General features: G+C 40.3%; 1 protein-coding gene across 2 annotated transcripts in view, besides 1 other annotated feature; it reads right to left on the bottom strand.

The window, feature by feature from the left end:
• Window positions 1–6,131: 6,131 nt before the first annotated feature.
• MRPS35 (mitochondrial ribosomal protein S35) overlaps window positions 6,132–22,040 on the bottom strand; it is a 45,464-nt gene continuing 29,555 nt past the window's right edge. For both annotated transcript variants that reach the window (NM_021821.4, NM_001190864.2), the window contains one exon: window positions 6,132–7,246. In NM_021821.4, the coding sequence (NP_068593.2) occupies window positions 6,977–7,246 (270 nt within the window). In that variant the 3' untranslated portion in view covers window positions 6,132–6,976. The remainder of the gene's footprint in view (window positions 7,247–22,040) is intronic.
• Window positions 10,533–11,307: an enhancer, noted in NCBI's record as "H3K27ac-H3K4me1 hESC enhancer chr12:27904053-27904827 (GRCh37/hg19 assembly coordinates)". NCBI's record gives its function as "activates a minimal SCP1, AML or CMV promoter by ChIP-STARR-seq in naive H9 embryonic stem cells {active_cell/tissue: H9 hESC(naive)}" and the evidence as "EXISTENCE:reporter gene assay evidence [ECO:0000049][PMID:30033119]".

The raw sequence follows: 22,040 nt of genomic DNA, 5'->3' as shown, positions 1-22,040 counted from the left end.
AAAGCTGCAGTGAGCTGTGATTGCACCACTGCACTCCAGCCTGGGCAACACAGCCAGACCCTGTCTCAAAAGAAAACATAGGATGCTCACTCCTACCAATCTGTGAAAAAAAAAAAAGGCTAATGCTTGATAAACATAACTGCTTTCTTTGTTGTTATTTCTATTTTTTAAGTAGTGTTCCCTCTGCCAGAGTTGCAAAATTCTGATCCTTATAGTTGTTACTGAGAGACACTGTTCGAGTGCTTTAGGGGCATGAACTCACTGAATCCTTCCAACCCTGAGAGGTGGGTGCACTGCTATTAACCATGATACTATTATTATCACATTTTACAGACGAGGCAACTGAGGTGAAGAGAGGTTAAACATCTTCCCTAAAAACACACAAGTATTAAGTAGTGAAGTCAGGACTTAATTAAACACAGGCAGTCTCGTTCAAGTCCCTGCTCAAAATCACTGTTAGACTCAGAGCCTATGTTTTCCCAAAAAGCATGAAAAAATAATACCAGGAAGAAAACACCACAATATCATCATATTGGCCTCCCAGTCAAGGTCAAATTATTGTCACGTATAGTAATGCAATCATGTAGTAATTTGAGCAAAAGAACAGTTACTAACAGTTACTAACCCATAAGCAAATGCTTCCTGATCTTAATCTAGCTTTCTACTTTCAATTGATTAATCCTTCTCAATCCCAACCCGTCTTCATCTTCCTTTCAATAATTGTGCTACAGAGCTCTTTGAGCTTCTTGTGTTGATTTCTGTTGAATAAAGCTTGGGAGTTTTAGTTTTAGTTACATCCCTCACTTGTATACATTCTGTTTTCCCAGGTGTAAAGATTAGCTCCGGGTGTTTCAGTTCTGTCCAAATCTTACAGATTTACCCCCTAAATCTTAGAAGACTCTTAAGTGTGGAATACTGTAGTTCAAGTCTCTAATAAACTTAAGCTTTTTAGGCCCCTATTCTCATTCCTGAAACCTGTTTTTAATGTGAGAACAGATATTAAAAGACAGATAATAAGTATAAAGAATAAATAAGGGCCTGGGCACAGTGGCTCACGCCCATAATCCCAGCACTTTGGGAGGCCGAGGCGGGAGGATCACCTGAGGTCAGGAGTTCGAGACCAGCCTGGCCAACATGGCAAAACCCTGTGTCTACTAACAATACAAAAATTAGCAGGGCATGCTGGCACGTGCCTGTAATCCCAGCTACTCAGGAGGGTGAGGTAGGAGAATCACTTGAACCTGGGAGGTAGAGGTTGCAATGAGCTGAGATTGCACCGCTGCACTCTAGCCTGGGCAACAGCGAGACTCTGTCAAAAAAAATAAAATAAAATAAATAAGGGGAAAACCTATTTATAATACTTATAATATAGTACTGTTTCCTCATATGTTAAAACGAACTGTCCATGGGTACACTAAATGTCCAGATTTCATCACTATGCAATATATCCATGTAACACAACTGCACTTGTACCCCTAAATCCATAAAAATAAAACATTTAATTTTGAAAGAAAAGAAAACCCAAATTTTCTAAGTCCAGTGGCTTCAATTTCCTTTTCTTTCCCTGGTATTAATACGGGTGGAAAAAGAGAATGACTATTTCTTTTAATACAAAAGAAAAATATAAAATCTCTTGCAGTTGAATACTAACCACAGCTAAAAGTCTGATTTTAAAATTTAATCAAAAGGCCAGGCATGGTGGTTCATACCTGTAATCCAAGCACTATGGGATGCTGAGGCAGGAGGATCACTTGAACCCAGGAGCTTGAGACCAGCCTGGGCAACATGGCAAGACCCTGTCTCTACAAAAAATACAAAAATTGGCCAGGTGCGGTGGCTCACACCTGTAATCCCAGCACTTTGGGAGGCTGAGGCGGGTGGATCACCTGAGGTCAGGAGATCGAGACCATCCTGGCTAACACAGTGAAATCCCCTCTCTACTAAAAAATACAAAAACTAGCCGGGCGTGGTGGCATGAGCCTGTAGTCCCAGCTACTCGGGAGGCTGAGGCAGGAGAATCCCTTGAACCTGGGAGGTGGAGGTTGCAGTGAGCCGAGATCTAGCCACTGTACTCCAGCCTGGGTGGCAGAGTGAGACTGCATCTCAAAAAAAAAAAAAAAAGAAAAGAAAAAAAATTAGGGGGGTGTGGTGGTGTGTCCCTGTAGTTCCAGCTACTTGGGAGGCTGAGGTGGGAGGATCACTTGAGCTCTGGAGGTCGAGGCTGCAGCAAGCCATGAATGTGCCACTTCACTCCAGCCTGGGCAACAGCCTGGGCAACAGAGTGAGGCCTTGCCTTAAATAAATAAATACATAATCAATTAAAAAATTAGCCAGGCATTGTGACACACACCTGTAGTCCTAGCTACTTGGAAGGCTATGTTGGGAGGATTGCTTGAGCCTGGAAGGTTGAGGCTGCCCAGGAGGCGGAGGTTGCAGTGAGCCAAGATCATGCCACTTTACTCCTGCCTGGGCAACAAAGTAAGACTCTGTCTCAAAAAAATAAAAAAAATCAATTTACCTTAACTTGTGATAATTCATAAAATTAGGTGTCATAAATTTTATCAGTTTCTTCCCTAATACATTAGGGGGAAAAAAACCCATGCTATTTGAAGCAGGGAGTGGGGGGAGCAAGATTTAAATTACCCTAAAATTATATTTACAGAAATAATTCAGTAAGCTGTCTTTATACATTTTTGTACATACATTTAGAAAATCATTACTTTTTTTTTTTTTTGAGAGAAGTCTCGCTCTTGTCCCCCAGGTTTGAGTGCAATGGCTTGATCTTGCCTCACTGCAACCTCTGCCTCCTAGGTTCAAACGATTCTCCTGCCTCTGCTTCCCAAGTAGCTGGGATTAAGGTTCTTGCCAACACGCTTGGCTAATTTTTGCATTTTTTAGTAGAGACGGGGTTTCACCATGTTGGCCAGGCTGGTCTCAAACTCCTGACCTCAGGTGATCTGCCGCCTCGGCCTCCCAAAGTGCTATGATTACAGGCGTGAGCCACCACGCCAGGCCGAAAATCATTACCTTTAAGTATATGTGAATTGCTTAGAGGTTTTCCAATAGACTAGGGCTGCTAGAATTAAAAAGGCTTTTTTTCCCCTTGGGGTTTCTCAGAATTTTACTCATTCCTTAAAGCTGATAATTTCATATAAATGACCTTAATTTGGGAAAAGTATATTTACCTTCTAAGAAAACAAATTCCTTTTCTTCTTCAACCCTTCTGACCATTAGATAAATTGAGTAAATTTGGACTGGAGAGACAACAGACCAGAATCAGTTAAGAACTAAAACAACTGAGACTAGAAACTGCTTTCTTACTGGGAGGCAGAGACGAAACAGAACTTCCGAATAAAATTTTAAATTTTATTAAGAAACAATCAGACCAACTCAGGCAACATAGCAAGACCCCATCTCTACAAAAATAAAAAATTAACCAGGTGTGGTGGCATGCTACTTGGGAGGTTGGGAGTAGCTGGAGGTCCTAGCTACTTGGGAGGTTGAGGTGGGAGGATCGGTTGAGACCGGGAGGTTGAGGTTGCAGTGAGCCATGAATGTGCCACTGCACTCCAGACTCCAGCCTGGGCTGGAACAGAGCAGACTGTGTCTCCAAAAAAAAAAAAAAAAAAAAAAAAAAGGGACCACGTTGGAAAGATTTCATGGTTACTTCCTAGGTGGGTGTCACAACCTTGGCCTTAGTTATTGACTGGACCCCAGGGTCCAGTTTGTTTGTTTCTTTTTCTTTTTTTCCTTTTCCTTTTTTGGAGACAAGTTCTTGTTCTGTCACCCAGGCTAGAATGCAGTAGTGTGATCATAGTCACTGCAGCCTTGAACTCCTGGTCTCAAGCAATTCTCCCACTTCAGCCTCCCAAGTTGCTAGGCGTGTGCCACCATGCCTGGGTAATTTTTATCTTATGTAGAGACAGTGTTTCACTTTGTTGCCCAGACTGGTGTCCAAATCCTGGCCTCAAGCAATACTCCCACCTTGGCCTCCCAAAGTGCTGGGATTACAGGCATGAGCCACTGCGTCCAGCTTCTCCAAAAAAAAAAAAAAAAAAAAAAAAAAAAAAAAAAAAGTCTGTAACTGTTTAGTATTATGAAACACCAATATTGCATAAATATGCAAAAGAATTAAAGCACCCTACAATTAAGAAAAGAGATCTGATCTACATCTTAGTTGCCTATGTGTTTAAGCAACTTCTGGGCTATACAATTTAAGTTTAAAGTCAGAAATGACTGCATTAATATAGCAAAGTATCCCCTAGCATTTTCATTATAAAGATGAATATAATGCTCCAATTGCATACATTCTGTCAACTAGCAGATTTTAAAGGACAAGGATCTGATTAATGACAAATAGTGCTGCTTAATTTTGCTAAAATTACAATAACAACAACTGTTTTATATATACATACAGATATATATGTATATATACATTTTTAAAGTACAGACAGGGTCTTGCTATGTTGCCTAGGCTGGTCTCAAACTTCTGACCTCAAGCCATCCTCCCACCACAGCCTCCCAAAGTGCTGTGACTACAGGCATGAGCCACTGCATCCGGTCCAACTGTTTTGTTTTTGAGGCAGTTTTGTATTAATCCGTCAGCTCTACGATTTTGCCATTAGGAATCAACAATTGTTTAAGAGTCTTCAGGTTACTTGGAGTTGGCCAAACTGCAAAAGATGATAGAGTCCTCTACAAGGCCATCCTACTTCTGACACCAACTGTAAGTTTGTGGGGGATTCCTTAAACAACCCTCAGGCTCAGTAATTCACTAGAACTCAGAACTGAATGAAAGCTATTATTCTCACAATTACAGTTTATTACAGGGAAAGGATACATTAAAGTGGCCCAACAGAAGAAATACGTAAGTTGAGGCCCAGGAAGCGTTCAAATGTTTAGTTTCTAGTGCTCTCCCCTAGGAGTCAGGACACATTACTCTCCTACTATCAGTGTGTGACAATATGCATGGAGTATTGCTAACCCAAGAAGCTTACTCAAGCCTCCGTGTTCAAAGATTTTTTTTTTTTGAAACGGAGTCTCGCTCTGTCACCCAGGCTGGAGTCCAGTGGCGCGATCTCGGCTCACTGCAAGCTCTGCCTCCCGGGTTCACGGCTTTCTCCTGCCTCAGCCTTCCAAGTAGCTGGGACTACAGGCGCCTGCCACCACGCCTGGCTAATTTTTTGTATTTTTAGTAGAGACGGGGTTTCACTGTGTTAGCCAGGATGGTCTCAATCTCCTGACCTTGTGATCCACCTGCCTCGGCCTCCCAAACTGCTGGGATTATAGGCGTGAGCCACTGCGCCTGGCCCAAAGATTTTACTGGACTCCATTATGTAGGTATGATTGCTGATTGTCTGCTGAGTCATCTCGGCTGCCAGGTGGACTAATATCATGTGACTGAAAGCCCCCACCCTAAATCACATGGTAGGTTTTTCTGGCATGTTGGTCCCATCCTGAGATCTTTTGGGGCCAGTTACCCCACTAAACAAAGACAGTCCTATCAGGTACGATATAGATTACCTCCCAGAAGCCAAGGGCAAAGGCCAGACCTCTGAGTAAGGTCAAATTCTTTATTACACATCCTCCTCTTTGCTTTCATCTGCACTGTATTATTACACAGGATAAACCACCCTAAGCTACCGCTCCTTTACATGTTCCCAAATGATCATCTCTTCTCAGCTTCTACTGTTTTCAAAATGTTTCCTTCTTCAATCCTGTTAGGAATCTGAGTTTTTCTTAACTCCGAATGAGTCTCTAAATGTACTGGTATGTTTCTTGAAATATGCTCTAAACATGATCTAAAATTTTGGTTTTTATCTGTACTGCTTTTCATCTACTACTTACCAATTCAGCTCAGTCTAGCCCCTTTTGAGTTCATTCATAAGTCAGCCCTAGGATTAAAATGATAAGTAGTATAAGGGTGCCCCAGCAGGGCACGACATGCCTCTTTCTCTCCTTTTTGTACTCAAGGCCATATTGTCCTTCATAACCTACAGACTCCTGGCCTCAATCACACCAGATCATACCTTCATTTCACACAAATGGTTTAGGAAATCGTTGTGAAATTCCATTTTGGCTTTCATTTATACTCTCTAATTCTTCTAGGCAAAATAAGTCTATTAGGCAAATAAACTCAGTAATTCCTTTATTTTGATTTTAAATTAATCACAACCATCGAAGTGGTAAGAAACAGCTGACAGGTGTACTTAAAAATACTGAATTGACAGCTACATTGAATGCAGGGTTTCCCAGGGTAGTTCTTATTTTGTCACTTACTCCAATTACATTCAAGGTCGTTATGCCTCATCTTTTTCCTGAGCTGTGGCAGCTCTAACTGGGGCACCCAGAGAGATACATACCAGGTAATCTCCACTTCTACTTTTCTGGTAGCTTGGCCCTGGCAAAATGAGCCCCACAATCTAGAAAGTAGGATGCTAAACAAAGTTGAATCAACATATCTTTTTAGAAAATATCAGGTTAGAGAATACTCCTGAGGACCTGTTTCTAACCAGAGTTGACAAATGTGAAAAATGCATCAGCTAGACAGCAGTCATGTGAACACAGCCCGGAACTGCAAGTCAAGGAAATGGGTTCTGGGCCTGCCTTCCCAGGTAACCAAAACCATTATTCAAAAGCAACTACTGAAATGCCAGCTTGTGGGGAAAGAAATGGGAAAGGTGATAAAATCACAATTAAATGCATGTATATACATGAATACCAAAGCTATTATGTAGAAATAAAATCAAAACACTTTAGACCAAGAAGAAATCAGAGACCTCCTAGTCTATTGCCCCAGTGTAAAAATTAAAAAACTCTGGAGTAATCATTGCCATTAAGCATTAGTATGAGGGAAATAATTTTAACTCTGAGGAAAAAAAATGATTTTTTAACATTTTCAATTTTATATCAAATTAGATACTGATCACATATATCATAAAATTAATAAATCAAGCAGATTTTTCTACTCCATAATTCATGTCACATTTAATAGTCTCTTCACGGATTCTTTGTACTGAGAAATGGAATTTTCATTTTCCTCCTCATTTTTAAGACTAACAACAGACTTTTTGTACTCTTCAATTTCTTTAGTACCAAGGAGCTCTTCTTTATTTATTTCCATATTTTTCTCAGCAGCTTTCATCTGGAGAAGCGTTTCCAGGATATTTCTTTCTGATGAGCTATTTTCCCATATATACTCTTCCATGTCTGCTTCAGTCTTACTTTTTTCCCATTCTTCAGTATTCTGAAACAAAACAAAACAAAAAAAAATGAGTTCTGAATTCTGAGAAATATCAAATGTTTGTTTGTTTCTTCCTTTCTTTCTTCTTTTTTTTTTTCCTTCCTTTTTAAGGGAAGAGAAGTTTGCAAAATGTGGAGAGGCCCTGGCCAACACCTTGTCTGTGCACTTTGGCCCCTTAACCCTGTACTGTTAGCCACCTGCACCTGCGCTTGAGGGCTGCACACTCTGTCACGTGAACACTGGTCTGTCAAGCTCTGTTACCACTCGCTACTCTATCCACATAATTACAATCTGTCTGCCTTACAATCTGTACTTACAAAGATATGCTGTTTTCCAGCAGATACAGAAAATAACTTTTTGCAGCTATTCTCTAAACCCTAATACATCAAGATTTCACTTTTTTTTTTTTTTTTTTTTTGAGATGGGTCTCACTCTGTCACCCAGGCTGGAGTGCAGTGGCACAATCACAGCTCACAGCAGCCTCGACCTTGCAGTCTCAGGTGATTCTCCCACCTCAGGCTCCTGAGTAGCTGGGACTACAGGCGCCCACCACCATGCCTGGCTACTTTTTGTATTTTTTGTAGAGATGGTGTTTTGCCATGTTGCCCAGGCTGGTCTCAAACTCCTGGGCTCAAGTGATTATTCTGCCACGGCCTCTCAAAGTCCTGGGATTACAGAGGTAAGCCACTGCGCCTGGCCCAACATTTTGCATTTCTGAGTTGTAATCTTCAACTTCTTTAGTACCAAGGAGATCATTATTAAAAATAATGAGAGCTGAGAGGAGACTGTATTTATTTCTGTGATATACTTGTGGGATGATGAGGAAGACTAATTAATTATTAAAATAAAATTAAGAATATGATGCACATAATACGTGGTTTTTAGTCATAATGACTTCATATATCCTGGAATTTTCTTTTTTCCCCCGCCAAGACAGAGTCTCGCTCTCTTGCCCAGGCTGGAGTACAGTGGGGCCATCTCAGCTCACTGCAATCTCTGCCTCCTGGATTCAAGCGATTCTCTTGCCTCAGCCTCCTGAGTAGCTGGAAGTACAGGCGCCCACCACCACGCCCAGCTAATTTTTGTATTTTTAGTAGAGTTGGAGTTTCACCATGTTTTCTAGGCCGGTCTCAAACTCCTGACTTCAAATGATCCGCCTGCCTTGGCTTCCCAAAGTGTAGGGATTACAGGCATAAGCCACCACACCCAGCCTATCCTGGAATTTTATTTTGTTATTATCTTTCTGTTCCCATAATGTGAACAATGTTTTGTTACTACTCGTTTTTTCTTACAAAAATTATTACCATGCTATTCTAGGGAACACTGGTAGGCTTTACAGTAATACAGCATAATTCAGATTTATGATTTAAATGGAGATGTAACAGTCTGTGAAAAATCAAGCAATACAGCTAATAAGTAATATACCCTGGTTCAAAGAAGTGCTGAATACTAGTCACATTTTTTTTCCAAATTAACACATAATAATATTCTGAGCTACAGGCTGCTATGGAATCATCTATTATTCTGAATAACAACTTTTAAAGGTGGCAAAATATTAAAAGATGAGTATATTTGTGAGGCTGTCAGAAATACTATTCTACCTCTAGAAAATCCCCTTCAAAGAGATTCCAGCTTGAGTAGACAGCTCCAAGGCTCTGCAGAGCTGAGTGGGCACCAAGAAGCAGGTAAGGTTTCCACCCGTGCCACCCTCCCACCCCTATCCCCACTACAAGTGCCTATGAAAAGAAAAGAAAGCATTGGAGATGTGTTCCTCCAAGGGTAAAGAGGAGCCCCACCGATCACAAATAATAGGCCACTGGGGACAACACCGAGTCAGCAAACCCTGCTCAGATCACCGAGGCGAAAGGAAGAGACTTAGGAGAAGAAATTCTCCTTTGAATCCTTCAAACTGGGTACCATTCCTTCAAGGGAAACCAGTAAGATGCAGGATGTCTTCCCTGGCCCCCAAATTCCTGAGCCAAGTGGGGTATATTTGCACTTACAATTCCTGCATGTTTGCCCCACCTCCCTGTAATAAATTTATGGCTGTGGACAGCGTCTCAGCATATGTTCTAGAAATATCCAGTTGAGAACCAACTCTGTGTCCTCTTTTAAAAAAAATCTGGTCGGGAGGTTTTAGGCTTGGCAGGGAAGGCATAATGTGAAACAACTTCTTTTTATTTTATTATTATTATTTTTTAGGCTAGTCGAGTAGTGAGAACGGGGTAAGAGCAGAACAAGGCATTCAATCTGTAACTGAAACTGACTGTGAACAATCAACTGAGATAACTCACTACCTTTAGACCAGCCTGAAACAACTTGGTATGCCTCTCGCCCACAACTCTGCTGCAAATAATTTCTAACAAACTCTGAATCTGCGCATTAAAAAAAATTGGCAAAATTATCCTACCCCACCTAATTTTTACTGTAATACTTGAGAAAGGAATAAATGTCAGCCCCTTAAAAAATAAATGTCCTAAATTAATTACATTATTGGTTCTATCTACTCTTAGAAATGTTTTAAAGGTTTCAAGACAATGTCATAGTTTTTTCACAATTCAAACTTACAGGGTAAAATATACTTAATCTAAAAAACCGACAAATACATTTTATAAAGCGTTAAGTAAAACGGTCACTCCATCTCATTCCTGACTCAACTGCCTGACTGCTAGAAGACAGGCAATTAAGAGACTTAACTATTTAGTATTTTTAAGTTTCACATGTTTTATCTGAATTTTCTTAACGGCTTCAAAATAGATGCTTACGCAGAGGAATTAATCAAAGTAAATCCACTAATAATTCCCACATTTCATGTCTCTTCCCCTTACATTTGGTGTATATAATTATACACTGGTTTGCCAAGATGTATTACAGGTATGCCAAGATATTGATTCCCTCAGCCCTTGCAGCCAGGTGAGCCTCGAATACTGGCAGCAGAATGAAGCACCCTCCTCCTTCATTCATCTCAGGTGTGATCAAAGCTTACCTACCGCCAGGCTCAACTCCTGTGCTCAAAGGACCCTCCTGCCTCAGCCTCCTGATTAGCTGGACTATGACTAAGGTGCACGCTATCATGCCCAGCTAATTTTATTTTATTTTTTTTTTTGTAGAGACAGGGTCTTGCTATGTTGCCTAAGGCTGGTCTTAAACTCCTGGCCTAGAGCAATCCTCCTGCCCCAGCCTCTCAAGGTGCTGGGATTACAGGGTGTAAGCCACCGCACCTGGCCAGTAAATAATTTTCTAAGTGTGTAATCACATGAAAAGGTACATGGAGGTAGGCCAAGGTGGATATCCAGGCCTGCATGACTCAGCGAGTTTGGCGTGCAGGCGCACACCCCCACTTGTTATATAACCTGTTTGTGTAAGTACATCCTTGGCTCTGAGCCACTGTTGTCTGTAAAAGGTATAATTGCCCTGCTACCGTTGTACAGGCGCTCTTGGGGCGCAGCCTGGCTCAACATGGCTCTTGTGCAGGCACTGGTGCCCAGAGAAAGAGAGACAGCCAAAGCTGTCCGTCTGGACAGGAGGGAGCCAGGACACAGCTCGGCTTGCACATGCCCAGATAAAGGGTTAAGCTGCTGACCCTGAAGGCAGGGGAGAGCCTTCTGGGAAGCCGCAGGCATGGGGGTCGCGGGAGCCACACAGCCGGAGCAAACCGCCGAGATAAAGGTGGACAGTGTAAGAAAAGCTGTTCATAAGAGAGCTAGTGTAAGAAAGCTGTTAATTTGAGCTGCTGCTGAATAAAACTATCTTTCACCTGCCTACAGCCCCCCAGGTGTTCTTTCTGCTCATCCACCCACGCCCCTCGGACTTCAGCATGGGCTGGACCCAGACCCCGGGATCTGACAAAAAGGACAGGAATCCCTGCACTATGGAATAATGTATATTTATAGAAGAAAATCACTATGGTTTAAAGTCATTAGTAAGGAAAACAAACTACATTCTGTAAAAGGCCTGGCTTCCTATCCTGTACTGAAAACAATGCAGTGTTCAGCCTCAGTTGCAAACTAAACAAAATTCACATTTTCTTTTTTCTTTTCCTTTTTCTTTTCTTTTCTTTTTTTTTTTTTTTTTTTTTTTTGAGATGGAGTCTCACTCTGTCACCCAGGCTGAAGTGCAGTGCCATGATCTCGTCTCACTGCAACCTCCGCCTCCTGGGTTCAAGCAATTCTCCCGCCTCAGCCCCCCAAGTAGCTGGGATTACAGGCGCCAACTACCACGCCCAGCTAATTTTTGTATTTTTAGTAGAGATGGGATTTCACCATGTTGGCCAGGCTGCTCTTGAACTCCTGACCTCAGGTGATCTGCCAGTCTCGGCCTCCCAAAGTGCTGGGATTACAGGCATGAGCCACTGCACCTGGCCTTCTTTTTTCTTTTTTGAAACAGGGTCTCCCTCTGTCACTTAGGCTGGAGCACAGTGGCACTATCTTGGCTTACTGCAGCCTCAACTTCCTAAGCTCATGCAATCCCCTTGCCTCAGCCTCCGGAGTAGCTGGGACTACCAGAGAGTACCACCATGCCCTGCTAATGTTTGCATTTTTTTTGTAGAGACGGGGTTTTGCCATGTTGCCCAGGCTGTTCTCAAACTCCTGGGCTCAAGTGATCCACCTGCCTTGGCCTCCCAAAATGTTAGGATTACAGGTGTGAGCCACTGTGCCCAGCCAATTCACATTTTCTATATGGTCTAGCTTTAGGATCCAAACTCTGCACAGCTGAATAAGAATTCCAAGATAATGACAGTAACAATCCCAACAAATTGAATACTTAATTATATATCAGGTATCTCAAATGCTTATGTATATTATTACATACAATTGTTGTTAAGATTTACTGGGATAGATTTTAAGAATTACATAGATAAGAAAACTGAGTATTATGGAAGTTAAACAAAGGTCCACAATCTATTGGGGGATTTCAGATTTCAGAAATTTTTGTATTTTAGAAAGTGAATTATGGTGCATATATATTTTTTAACACCTCTAGAGAGGGGCCTATAGCAGCATCACCTAATCCAACACATAATTTTTAATGCAACATACATGAATATTTACACTAAATGGAATGAACAAAATATAAATAGCCTCTCATCTATTCAGGTCACATGTTTGTCACCAAATAAGTTACGGAAAGACTAACAATTTCTAAAGCTTTTTGGGTTTCTAAATTACAGATGCAGGGCTGAGGCAGCTAAGTTTTGCTCAAGGTCATCCAGGAAGTTTGTATAAGATGGTATTTACCATGAGCTTTGGTATTTCCCAGACCTAAGTTTAAATCCTAACTTTCATCATTTATTATTGTAATAGGTGAGTTCCTTGAACTTGTATCTCTGTAAGAACCGACTTCACAGGGCTGTTCTGAAGATTAAAAGAGGTAAGGAATATCCATGTACTTAGAGGACCTGGCTCATAGTAAACATTACATAAATGTTGTTGTTAATAATACAACTTCAAAGAGGAGTGGGTTTCAAACCCACATTTCCCCACCTCTAAAACCTATGTACCTATGCCAAGGATTTGAGGCGAAGCATTGGGAGTAAGGGGTTCCACAAACCTGCAGAATGGCTTCAAAATGTACATGACATGTATTCCACCACCACTATGAAGCAGTAAACTAAAACTTCGAAGGTAAATGTAAATACACAACTGTCCAAATGTTTCACTATATTATTCCCACTCACAAAATCATATAGTGATATTTACAAAATTAGATAAAATATACAGAAACAAGAGGTCTTTATTTCTTTGTCACTGACTCCATACTATTTGCAAATAAGCAGTATCTTTCCAAGATGTTTAATTAAAAATAACAATTTTGAAATGTTTATGTATATGTGACTTAAAATGGCTTTTTTTTTGGTAAGTTTCCTTAACACTTTTAACTTCCTGGTCTTTTAGCGAAAGTTCAGTGTCATATTAAAAATAGGAGGTTAATACTAATGGAATAATAATCCAGAATTGAATTCTGATATAGTATCAGCAGGTTGCAATTTTAAATACATCTTCATAGAAAAGATGGAAATTACTAAAAAGTAGAAGAAAAAAAAAATCATCCATAATTCTGTTACCCAAAGATGGCCCATTAACACTGGTAACACTTGGTGTACATCTTAAATCCGTTTTTTAAAACCCTGCTATGATTACATTTTATTTACAATTTTGTGCCCTGACTTATAGTTCACTATCAATTCCTTTTCAAAGAGGTGGAGTCTCACTATGTTGCCCATGCTGGCCTTGAACTCCTGGGCTCAAGTGATTCTCCCACCTCACCTCTCAAGTAGGTGGAATTAGAGACGGGTACCACCATGCCTGGCTCCTACTATCAACATTTTAGCTCCTAAAACCACACCCAGCATTGAAGTCATTAGCTGTTTCAGTTTTTTTTTGTAGCCAGAAGGCTAAGGTGGGAGGATTGCTTGAGCCCAAGAGGCTGAGGTTGCTGTGAGCCGAGATTACACCACTGCACTCCAGCCTGGGTGACAGGGCCAGACCTTGTCACACAAAAAAAATTTATTTTATTGAAGTGTAGTTGGAATATATTAATTTTAAAGCACAAACAACAGCATATTCAAATTACTGGGGGCAATTAAAAATACCATTTTAAGCTCAAACTGATCATCACTTAGGCAAAGAATTCAATTAATTTGTCGACTCCTATTTTAATGCTTTGACCATTAAATATTTACAATTTCACCATTTAATTTATAAATATGGATCACACACACACACACACACACACACACACACACCACTTTTCTTTTTCTTCCTGCCTGCAATGAGAATCTGCCCTGACCCCCAACCCCTGAAGAAGCAATTTTCCATTCCATGTGATCCTGTTCTCTTTTCCAGTTGGCTCCATTATTCATTTACTTATTCATTCAATAAATATTTATTGCACAACTATTCTGCCAGGCATAGTGTTCTCTGGGAACATTCAGTCTAATGAGAGACTTGAAGTTGACTGTGAGCCAGTCAGATGAATATTGTGATCCCCGTAGAGGAGAAGCATCCACAAAGGCCTTGAAGCCGGAAAGGGCTTAACACAATCGAGGAAATGAATGAAGGCCAATGAGAAGGAAGTGGCATGGGCTGAGGCTGAAAAACTGTTGGAACACTCACTACATGCCAGGCACTATTCTAAGTGCCTTACAGGTATTAACTCATTTAATTCTCACAACAAACCTAGGAGTGAGTTAGTACTATTATCACCTGTTTTACAGATCAGGCAGCTGAAGCCCAGAGCAACTGAATAATTTGCCCAAAACCACACTGCTCGTTAGTGTTAGAACAACATGTTCTAAGGAACCTCGAGGCATGATAAAAGGAGTAACAAAAAATATAATAACATAACTTGAACCTCTTTTTTTTTCCTTGTATGAATGTAATACAAAGAAAAACATAATAGCTAATTCATGCAAGGGTCAATGTATTCTGTTGTAACAGAAGGCAAAGAAATATCTGCTCCACTGAACACACAAGCCTGTCACCTCCTACCTTCTTATTTACAACTCTCTTTGCCTAGGACATGAATCATAGTAATATTCCACTACTCATGATTACAAGTAAGGCCTTGTGCTGTATGAGAGAAAACAGTTTAACCATTTTTTAAAATCCCAAGCAATTTGAAAATCATAAAAAATACGAAGAGGCAAATATTCATAAAAAGTGAAAAAAGAATTACTGTCAATTCTTTCAGCTACCAAAGCTAAATTTTTAACTATGTCAAAGAATTCAATTAAGTTTTAAAAAACATTTACTGAATGCAAATTTACTGAATGCAATATAAAGATGAATGAATATATACTCCTTGTCCTCAGTGATCTCACAGTCTAATGGGGTGAGCAGACACGTATACAGGCAATTATATGTAATAAAAGGAATGTTAACTAGAGGAGGGAAAACAGATGGGCAGGAAACAGAGATGTTACAACTGAGGTGTATTAAAAGATTCATATGAATTTGCAAGGCTGATCAATTTGAAAAAAGAATTATACGCAAAGAGAATAACATATGCAAAGTTATGAAAGAACATATTATGTTCATTATGGCTAAAGTACAGGCTATATAATGTATATTTCCTGAGTGCTGGTAATGAGGTGGCAAATTGCTGTGAATGTCATGCTAAGGAGTTCAGACTTTATCCTAAGTAATGGGAAACCACTGAAGGATTTTGTAAAGGAATATGGTACAAGAGACTTGTTTTTTTGAACAATTACTCTAACAGTAATATAGAAGGTAGATGAGACAGGGAAATCAATTAGAAGCCTATTGTAGTTTTCAGGTAAATGATGATGAAAACTTATACTAGACTGTAGCGGTAGGGATAAAAAGGGGGAAACAGCTTTAACTGATATTTAAAAGCGAAAACCGAAAGACTTGGTAACTTATTTGGTATCAGGAGAGAGGGAAGAAAACTGTAACTCTCAAATTTATTACTTCAGCCACTGGGTGGGGAAGGAGAACCTGAGTTTTTCTTAAAGGTCTTTTAAGTATATAATAAAATGAAGTCCTGCCTGAAGGCAAAAAGGTATGAGCTTGTCACCTTCTGTGTAGCACCATCCCACTCAGGGATCTAGAACACTGCCTATTGTCTATCACATCAAGTCTAAATTCCTATTTATGGACAACAGAAAAATCCCTCCATTTCCTTGCCTGCCCCTTTCATTCTAATTACCACCCCTTACCCTCAAGCTCTGATATTAGATATAGGTTGAGTATCCCTTATCCAAAATGCTTAGGATCAGAAGTGTTTCAGATTTCGATATTTTAAAGGATTTTAGAATATCTGCATTATACTGACTGGTTGAGCATTCCAAATCTGAAATGTGAAACGCTCTTTTGAGCATCATGTCAGTGCTCAAAAGTTGCAGATTTTGGAGCATTTCAGATACCAGATTTTCAAATTAGGGATACTCAAACTTACATGTACAAAAACTGTCTTAAAAAAGACAAGCCAACCTAATCAATTTCCTTATTTACAACACTCAAAGACTGGAGAAATTATTCACAATCAGAGCTCAGCACCAGAATCACCTGTGGAGCTTTTAAAACTATCAAAACCTGGGTCTCACAGCTAGAGATTCTGATTCTGCAGGGCCTAAGCATCTGTAGTTTTAAAAGCTTCCACATAAATCATGCTGCTATAAAGACACATGCACACATATGTTTACTGTGGCACTATTCACAATAGCAAAGACTTGGAACCAAGCCAAATGTCCAACAATGATAGACTGCATTAAGAAAATGTGGCACATATACACCACGGAATACTATGCAGCCATAAAAAATGATGAGTTCATGTCCTTTGTAGGGACATGGATGAAGCTGGAAACCATCATTCTCAGCAAACTATTGCAAGGACAAAAAACCAAACACTGCATGTTCTCACTCATAGGTGGGAATTGAACAATGAGAACACAGGGACACAGGAAAGGGAACATCACACACTGGGGCCTGTTGTGGGGGGCAGGGGGAAGGGATAGCATTAGGAGATATACCTAATGTTAAATGACGAGTTAATGGGTGCAGCACACCAACATGGCACATGTATAAATATGTAACTAACCTGCATGTTGTGCACATGTACCCTAAAACTTAAAGTATAATTTAAAAAAAAAAAGCTTCCCAGGTGGCACTGATACAACCCCCAGCTGAAAACAGGTTATGGAGATAGATGAATTTTCAATTAGTCAGTTGTTCATTTTGAAAGGAGAGTAAACTAGCAGTTAAAGTCAGATTTGATTTCATCTCTTATTTCATAACATTTTGAAAGTCAAAGTTGAATAAAACTAAATAATATGATAGCATGGAAAGAATATGATACACTGAAGCTGCAGTTCAGGTCTGAGTTCCTCCACTAAAAAGCTCTGTAACCTTGGGCAAAGTACCTGACCTTTCCTCTAAATCTTAATTTCTCAGTGTATAAAATGAAAAGGCTATAATAAGATAAGCTGTTTGATTCTTCACCTTCAAAGTTAGCCCTAATTTAAAAGGGATGGCTGCACTAAATGCTTTGTGTTAAAAAAAAGAAAAAAGACAAAGTATTTTGAAGCACTTTTAAAAGATGGAACATGCTGGGGGTGTGGTGGCACACCTGTAGTCCTACTTGGGAGGCTGAGGCGGGAGGATCACTTGAGCCTGGGAGGCAGAGTCTGCAGTGAGCCGAGATCACGCCACTGCACTCCAGTCTGGGCGAAAGAGTGAGACCCCGCCTCACTGTGTGTTGTGGGGGAGAGATGGAACAACTAATTTACCCCTTTTTTCGTGTCCTTTTTATGTTAATGCAAGGTGATCATTGAAGCAGCACAGAGTTAAAAAAAACAAAGTCAGAGACAGAGACCCAGTTAACTCTCAGAGCAACATCACAGGTCCACTTTTTAGAACAAAGGCCAGATGTATTTGTCTGAAATCAAGTAAAACTGTGGCACGTAGTTACACTTTACCATTACTGGCCAACCACTAATGCTCGGACTCATGGGAGTTCAATGCATGTGTGTAGTTAGTTGTTTAACAAACACTGTAACATCAGTAAGTTTATGCAAAAAGTGCTAAATAAAAACATACGCTTCATGTTAAAGAGATGCGTCTTGCCAGGAAGAGCCAGTTTTTTTTAGAATATAGATTCTATTAACATTGTCAACTGTAAATTTGCATCATGAACTGAACTCACAGAAGCAAGTATTTGTGGAGAACTTACAAAGTAATGTAAAATTCAAATACTTTTTAAAATACTTCCTAATTTTTTTTTTGTATTTTTAGTAGAGATGAGGTTTTGCTGTGTTGGCCAGGCTGGTCTCCAACTCCAGGCCTCAAGTGATCCGCCTGCCTCGGCCTCCCAAACTGCTGGGATTACAGGTGTGAGCCACCGCGCCCAGCCTCAATAGCTGCTATGAAACATTTAGTATTCTTACCTAGCACTGACCTAGATAGTTTGAAGTACAAACTACAATAGGTCAGATCCCTGCTAATGAGGCCCTAAAGTTAGAAAAACAAAACATACATGGAACAATCCATGACTAAGACAACTAACTGCAGTCAGGTGTTCTAGTGACCAGCATAGAAATTAAAATAAGACATAATAACTTAATATCTATACAAAGCAGAAGTCAGACAAAGAGTAACAGCCTCAAAGCAGGTCGAAGTCTTGAAAGATACATAAGAAATGAAGAAGTAGAGAAGAATTAAAAATGAAATGGTAAATTATAGAACCCGTGCTACAGACCAAATGTTTGTGTCTCCCCACCAAATTCAGATATTGGAATCCCAACCCTTAATATGATAGAGACAGGAGGGAATTTCCTTCCTCTCTCTCTGTTCTCCAAGTGAGGACACAGTAAGACGACAGCCATCTGCAAACCAGGAGGGCCCTTACCCTAATGCAACCATGCTGGCGCCCTGATCAACTCCCCAGCCTCTAGAACTGTGAGAAATAAATTTCTATCATTTAAGCCACTCAATCTATGGTAATTTGTTATGATAGCTCAAACTAAGACAACCTTAACACTTTTGTGATATTTATTATTACACCTCCTTGCTCCCACTAGAGTGTTCTTCAGTTGGAGACGATGGTTTCCCCACGATTTATTAACTTTCATATCCAGCAACCCAAGCAAATAGACAATTAATAAACATTTGCCATTTTATTTTATTTATTTATTTTGAGATGGAGTTTCACTCTTGTTGCCCAGGCTGGAGTGCAGTGGCGCCATCTCGGCTCACTGCAACCTCTGCCTCCCGGGTTCAAGGCATTCTCCTGCCTCAGCCTCCCAAGTAGCTGGGATTACAGGTGCCCGCCACCACACCCGGCTAATTTATATATTTGTAGTAGAGATGGGGTTTCACCATGTTGGCCAGGCTGGTCTCAAACTCCTGACCTCAGGTGATCCACCTGCCTTGGCCTCCCAAAGTGCTAGGATTACAGGTGTGAGCCACCGTGCCCAGCCAACATTTGCCATTTTTAATGAAAGTGCACTTGATATTTGACACAGGATGGTTTACTCTTTCACGAACAGTGAAACAGTGAGAGGGGGCTGGATGTGGTGGCTCACACTTGTAATTCCAGCACTTTGGGAGGCAGAGGCAGGAGGATCACCTGAGCCCAGGAGTTCGAGAACAGTGTGGTGAACAGAGCAAGACTTCACCTCTACAAAAAATAAAAAAATTAGCTCCGCATGGTGACACTTGCCTGTGGTCCCAGCTACTTGGGAGGCTGAGGTGAGAGGATCGTCTGAGCCTGGGAGGTAGAGGCTGCATGCAGTGAGCTATGATTGCTCTACTGCACTCCAGCCTGGGTGACAAAGCAAAACTCAGTCTTCAAAGAGAAAATAAACTTTTAAAATTGTCTAGTAAAACACACACACACAAGCCCCCAAAATAAAATAAAATGAAACAAAAATAGTGAGAAGTACTTTTTCAAATAACTAGTAAAATACTGTATCAGCTCAATGTTGCCCTCTGGTTACAAATCTACATTTTGCAAATAAGCACTACGACGAGCTTCACAGCCTGTCTCTGACTTACTGCTAGCCTCACCTCCTTTCTTGGCCCTGTTAGTTCTATACCCTGGCTACACCAAACTTCTGCCTGCTCTTTAAACCCACAAGGCCTAGAAAGTTCTTCACCCACTCTGTACCACATACTCCTGTTCATCTTCTAAAACCCATCATCATTCCTGTGACGTTTTCAGGGGGAGTTAACCCTTGTCTGTGGCTCTCACAGCACTGTGTTCCTACTTCCATTAAGCTCAACAGATTATATTATAACCAACGGTTTCCCTCCAGAAATCAAGGTACCTAAGGCAGGGGGTCATTCATTTTGATAGTGGCACCTAGCAACATATCTTGTACACAAGAACTAAATAGTTGTTGAATGCAAAAGAGAACAAACATAGCAAACATTGCTCAAGCATTCTCCAGTGGAAATGCAGGTGTGTAGGCATACACAATCAAAATGAACTCATAAATCCGACAGATTAAATGGTGATTATGGCTCTGCAAAAGTATTCATTTTTATCAGAAATATCTGCAATAATGTCCCCTTTAAAACGAACTCTTAGTAAGTATAAAATTCTCCAACTTAGAAATTTTTAATTTTTATTGGGGGTCTTGCTATTTGCCCAAGCTGGACTCGAATTCCTGGGCTCAACAGATCCTCCTGCCCCAGCCTCCAGAGAAACTGGGACTACAGGAATGCAACACTGCTTGGCTAAATTAGAAATTTTTGTTACATGACTTTTCAGAACCATTTTATTACAAAGCTAGACATAGTTCTGACAATAAAACTATCATGAAATCCAAATAAGACAGCCGAAATTTTAAAATGTAAAAAAGCAACCATTAGTAATTCAATATCAAAATCACCCATGAATCTCTGAAATTTGATTTCAGATCTCTAACTTTTCTAAAGCAACTGTTTTTTTTCTCTTCCCCAGTATTTGTGCTCATCTTTTGTGCAAGTCACTTTGCAAACTGACTCATTATTTCTCAACCTAATCATTTACGGAAGGTTTCAATTATTAAAAAATCACTAAAAAGTTAAAATTAAGGAAGTTGTGTTATCATCAATTATGTCAAATTGTGAGTAGGATACACATCCTAAAGAGTATAGATCTGACTTTACTTGTACAAACTCTGCCAAATTAAATATAAGCTGTATATATTAATAGAAATTGGGAAACCATGAATTTAAAATTCTAAGAAAAAAATCTTTCCTCATTTTATTATTGTTAATATCAACATTATTTATAGATGCTTATGGAGAGCCCACTATTTGCCAGACACTTTACACAAATTCTCCCTGATCCATCCAAAAATCCTTAGGAAAAAACTGAACCTCAGAGGTTAAATAGTCGAGGCTATTACACAGGTACTAAGTAATGGCCCTGGAATTCAAATCCATGTCTGTCTGGCTCCAAAGGTTAAAAATTCATTCCAATGCTAACAATACGTAATACTAAAATAGGACACCAAATCTCTACAACTCTCCTTGCTTATTTTTTAATTATTATTATTATTTTTTTTTTGAGACAGAGTCTCACTCTGTCGCCCAGACTGGAGTGCAGTGGTGCGATCTTGGCTCACTGCAACCTCCGACTCCCGGGTTCAAGCGATTCTTGTGCCTCAGTCTCCCGAGTAGCTGGGACTACAGGCACCCACCACCATGCCTGGCTAATTTTTTGTATTTTTAGTAGAGACGGGGTTTCATCATGTTGCCCAGGGTGGTATCGAACTCCTGAGCTCGGGCAATCCGCCTGCCTTTGCCTCCCAAAGTGCTCCCAGCCTCCTTGCTTCTTTAAACTGCTGAAGGATAAATGAATGGTCCAGTGAATATGTGTCTCTTATCACCTTCCCAGCACTGAAATAATTATTCTTTGAGGCAGTATTAAGCCTTTATGCCTGAAGCTTAGGCTTTGCGATGTCTATGCTTACTGAAATCTACTTTGACACTTCTATAGTTAAACTGTTTTGAATAGTATACAACAGTAATATCCTTCTACTGGAGTCTAGGTGATCACTTCTCCAGAGGGATTTCAGTACTACAAGCTACATAAAATTAGCAGCTACTTTCCCCTCAGTGCTACTTAGAGGTAACCTCTAGGGGAAGGTTAAAAAGCCAAGGGAAGGCAGGGCACAGTGGCTCATGCCTATAATCCAACACTTTGGGAGGCCAAGGTGAATGGATTGCCTGAGCCCAGGAGTTCAAGACCAACCTGGACAACACAGTGAAATCCCATCTCTACAAAAAAAATGCAAAAATTAGCTGGGCATGGTGCCATGCGCCTGTAGTCCCAGCTATTCAGGAGG

Source organism: Homo sapiens, chromosome 12 (genome assembly GCF_000001405.40).
Source record: "Homo sapiens chromosome 12, GRCh38.p14 Primary Assembly".
Classification (NCBI taxonomy): Eukaryota; Metazoa; Chordata; class Mammalia; order Primates; family Hominidae; genus Homo; species Homo sapiens.
This window is presented reverse-complemented; position numbering and strand designations above follow the sequence as displayed.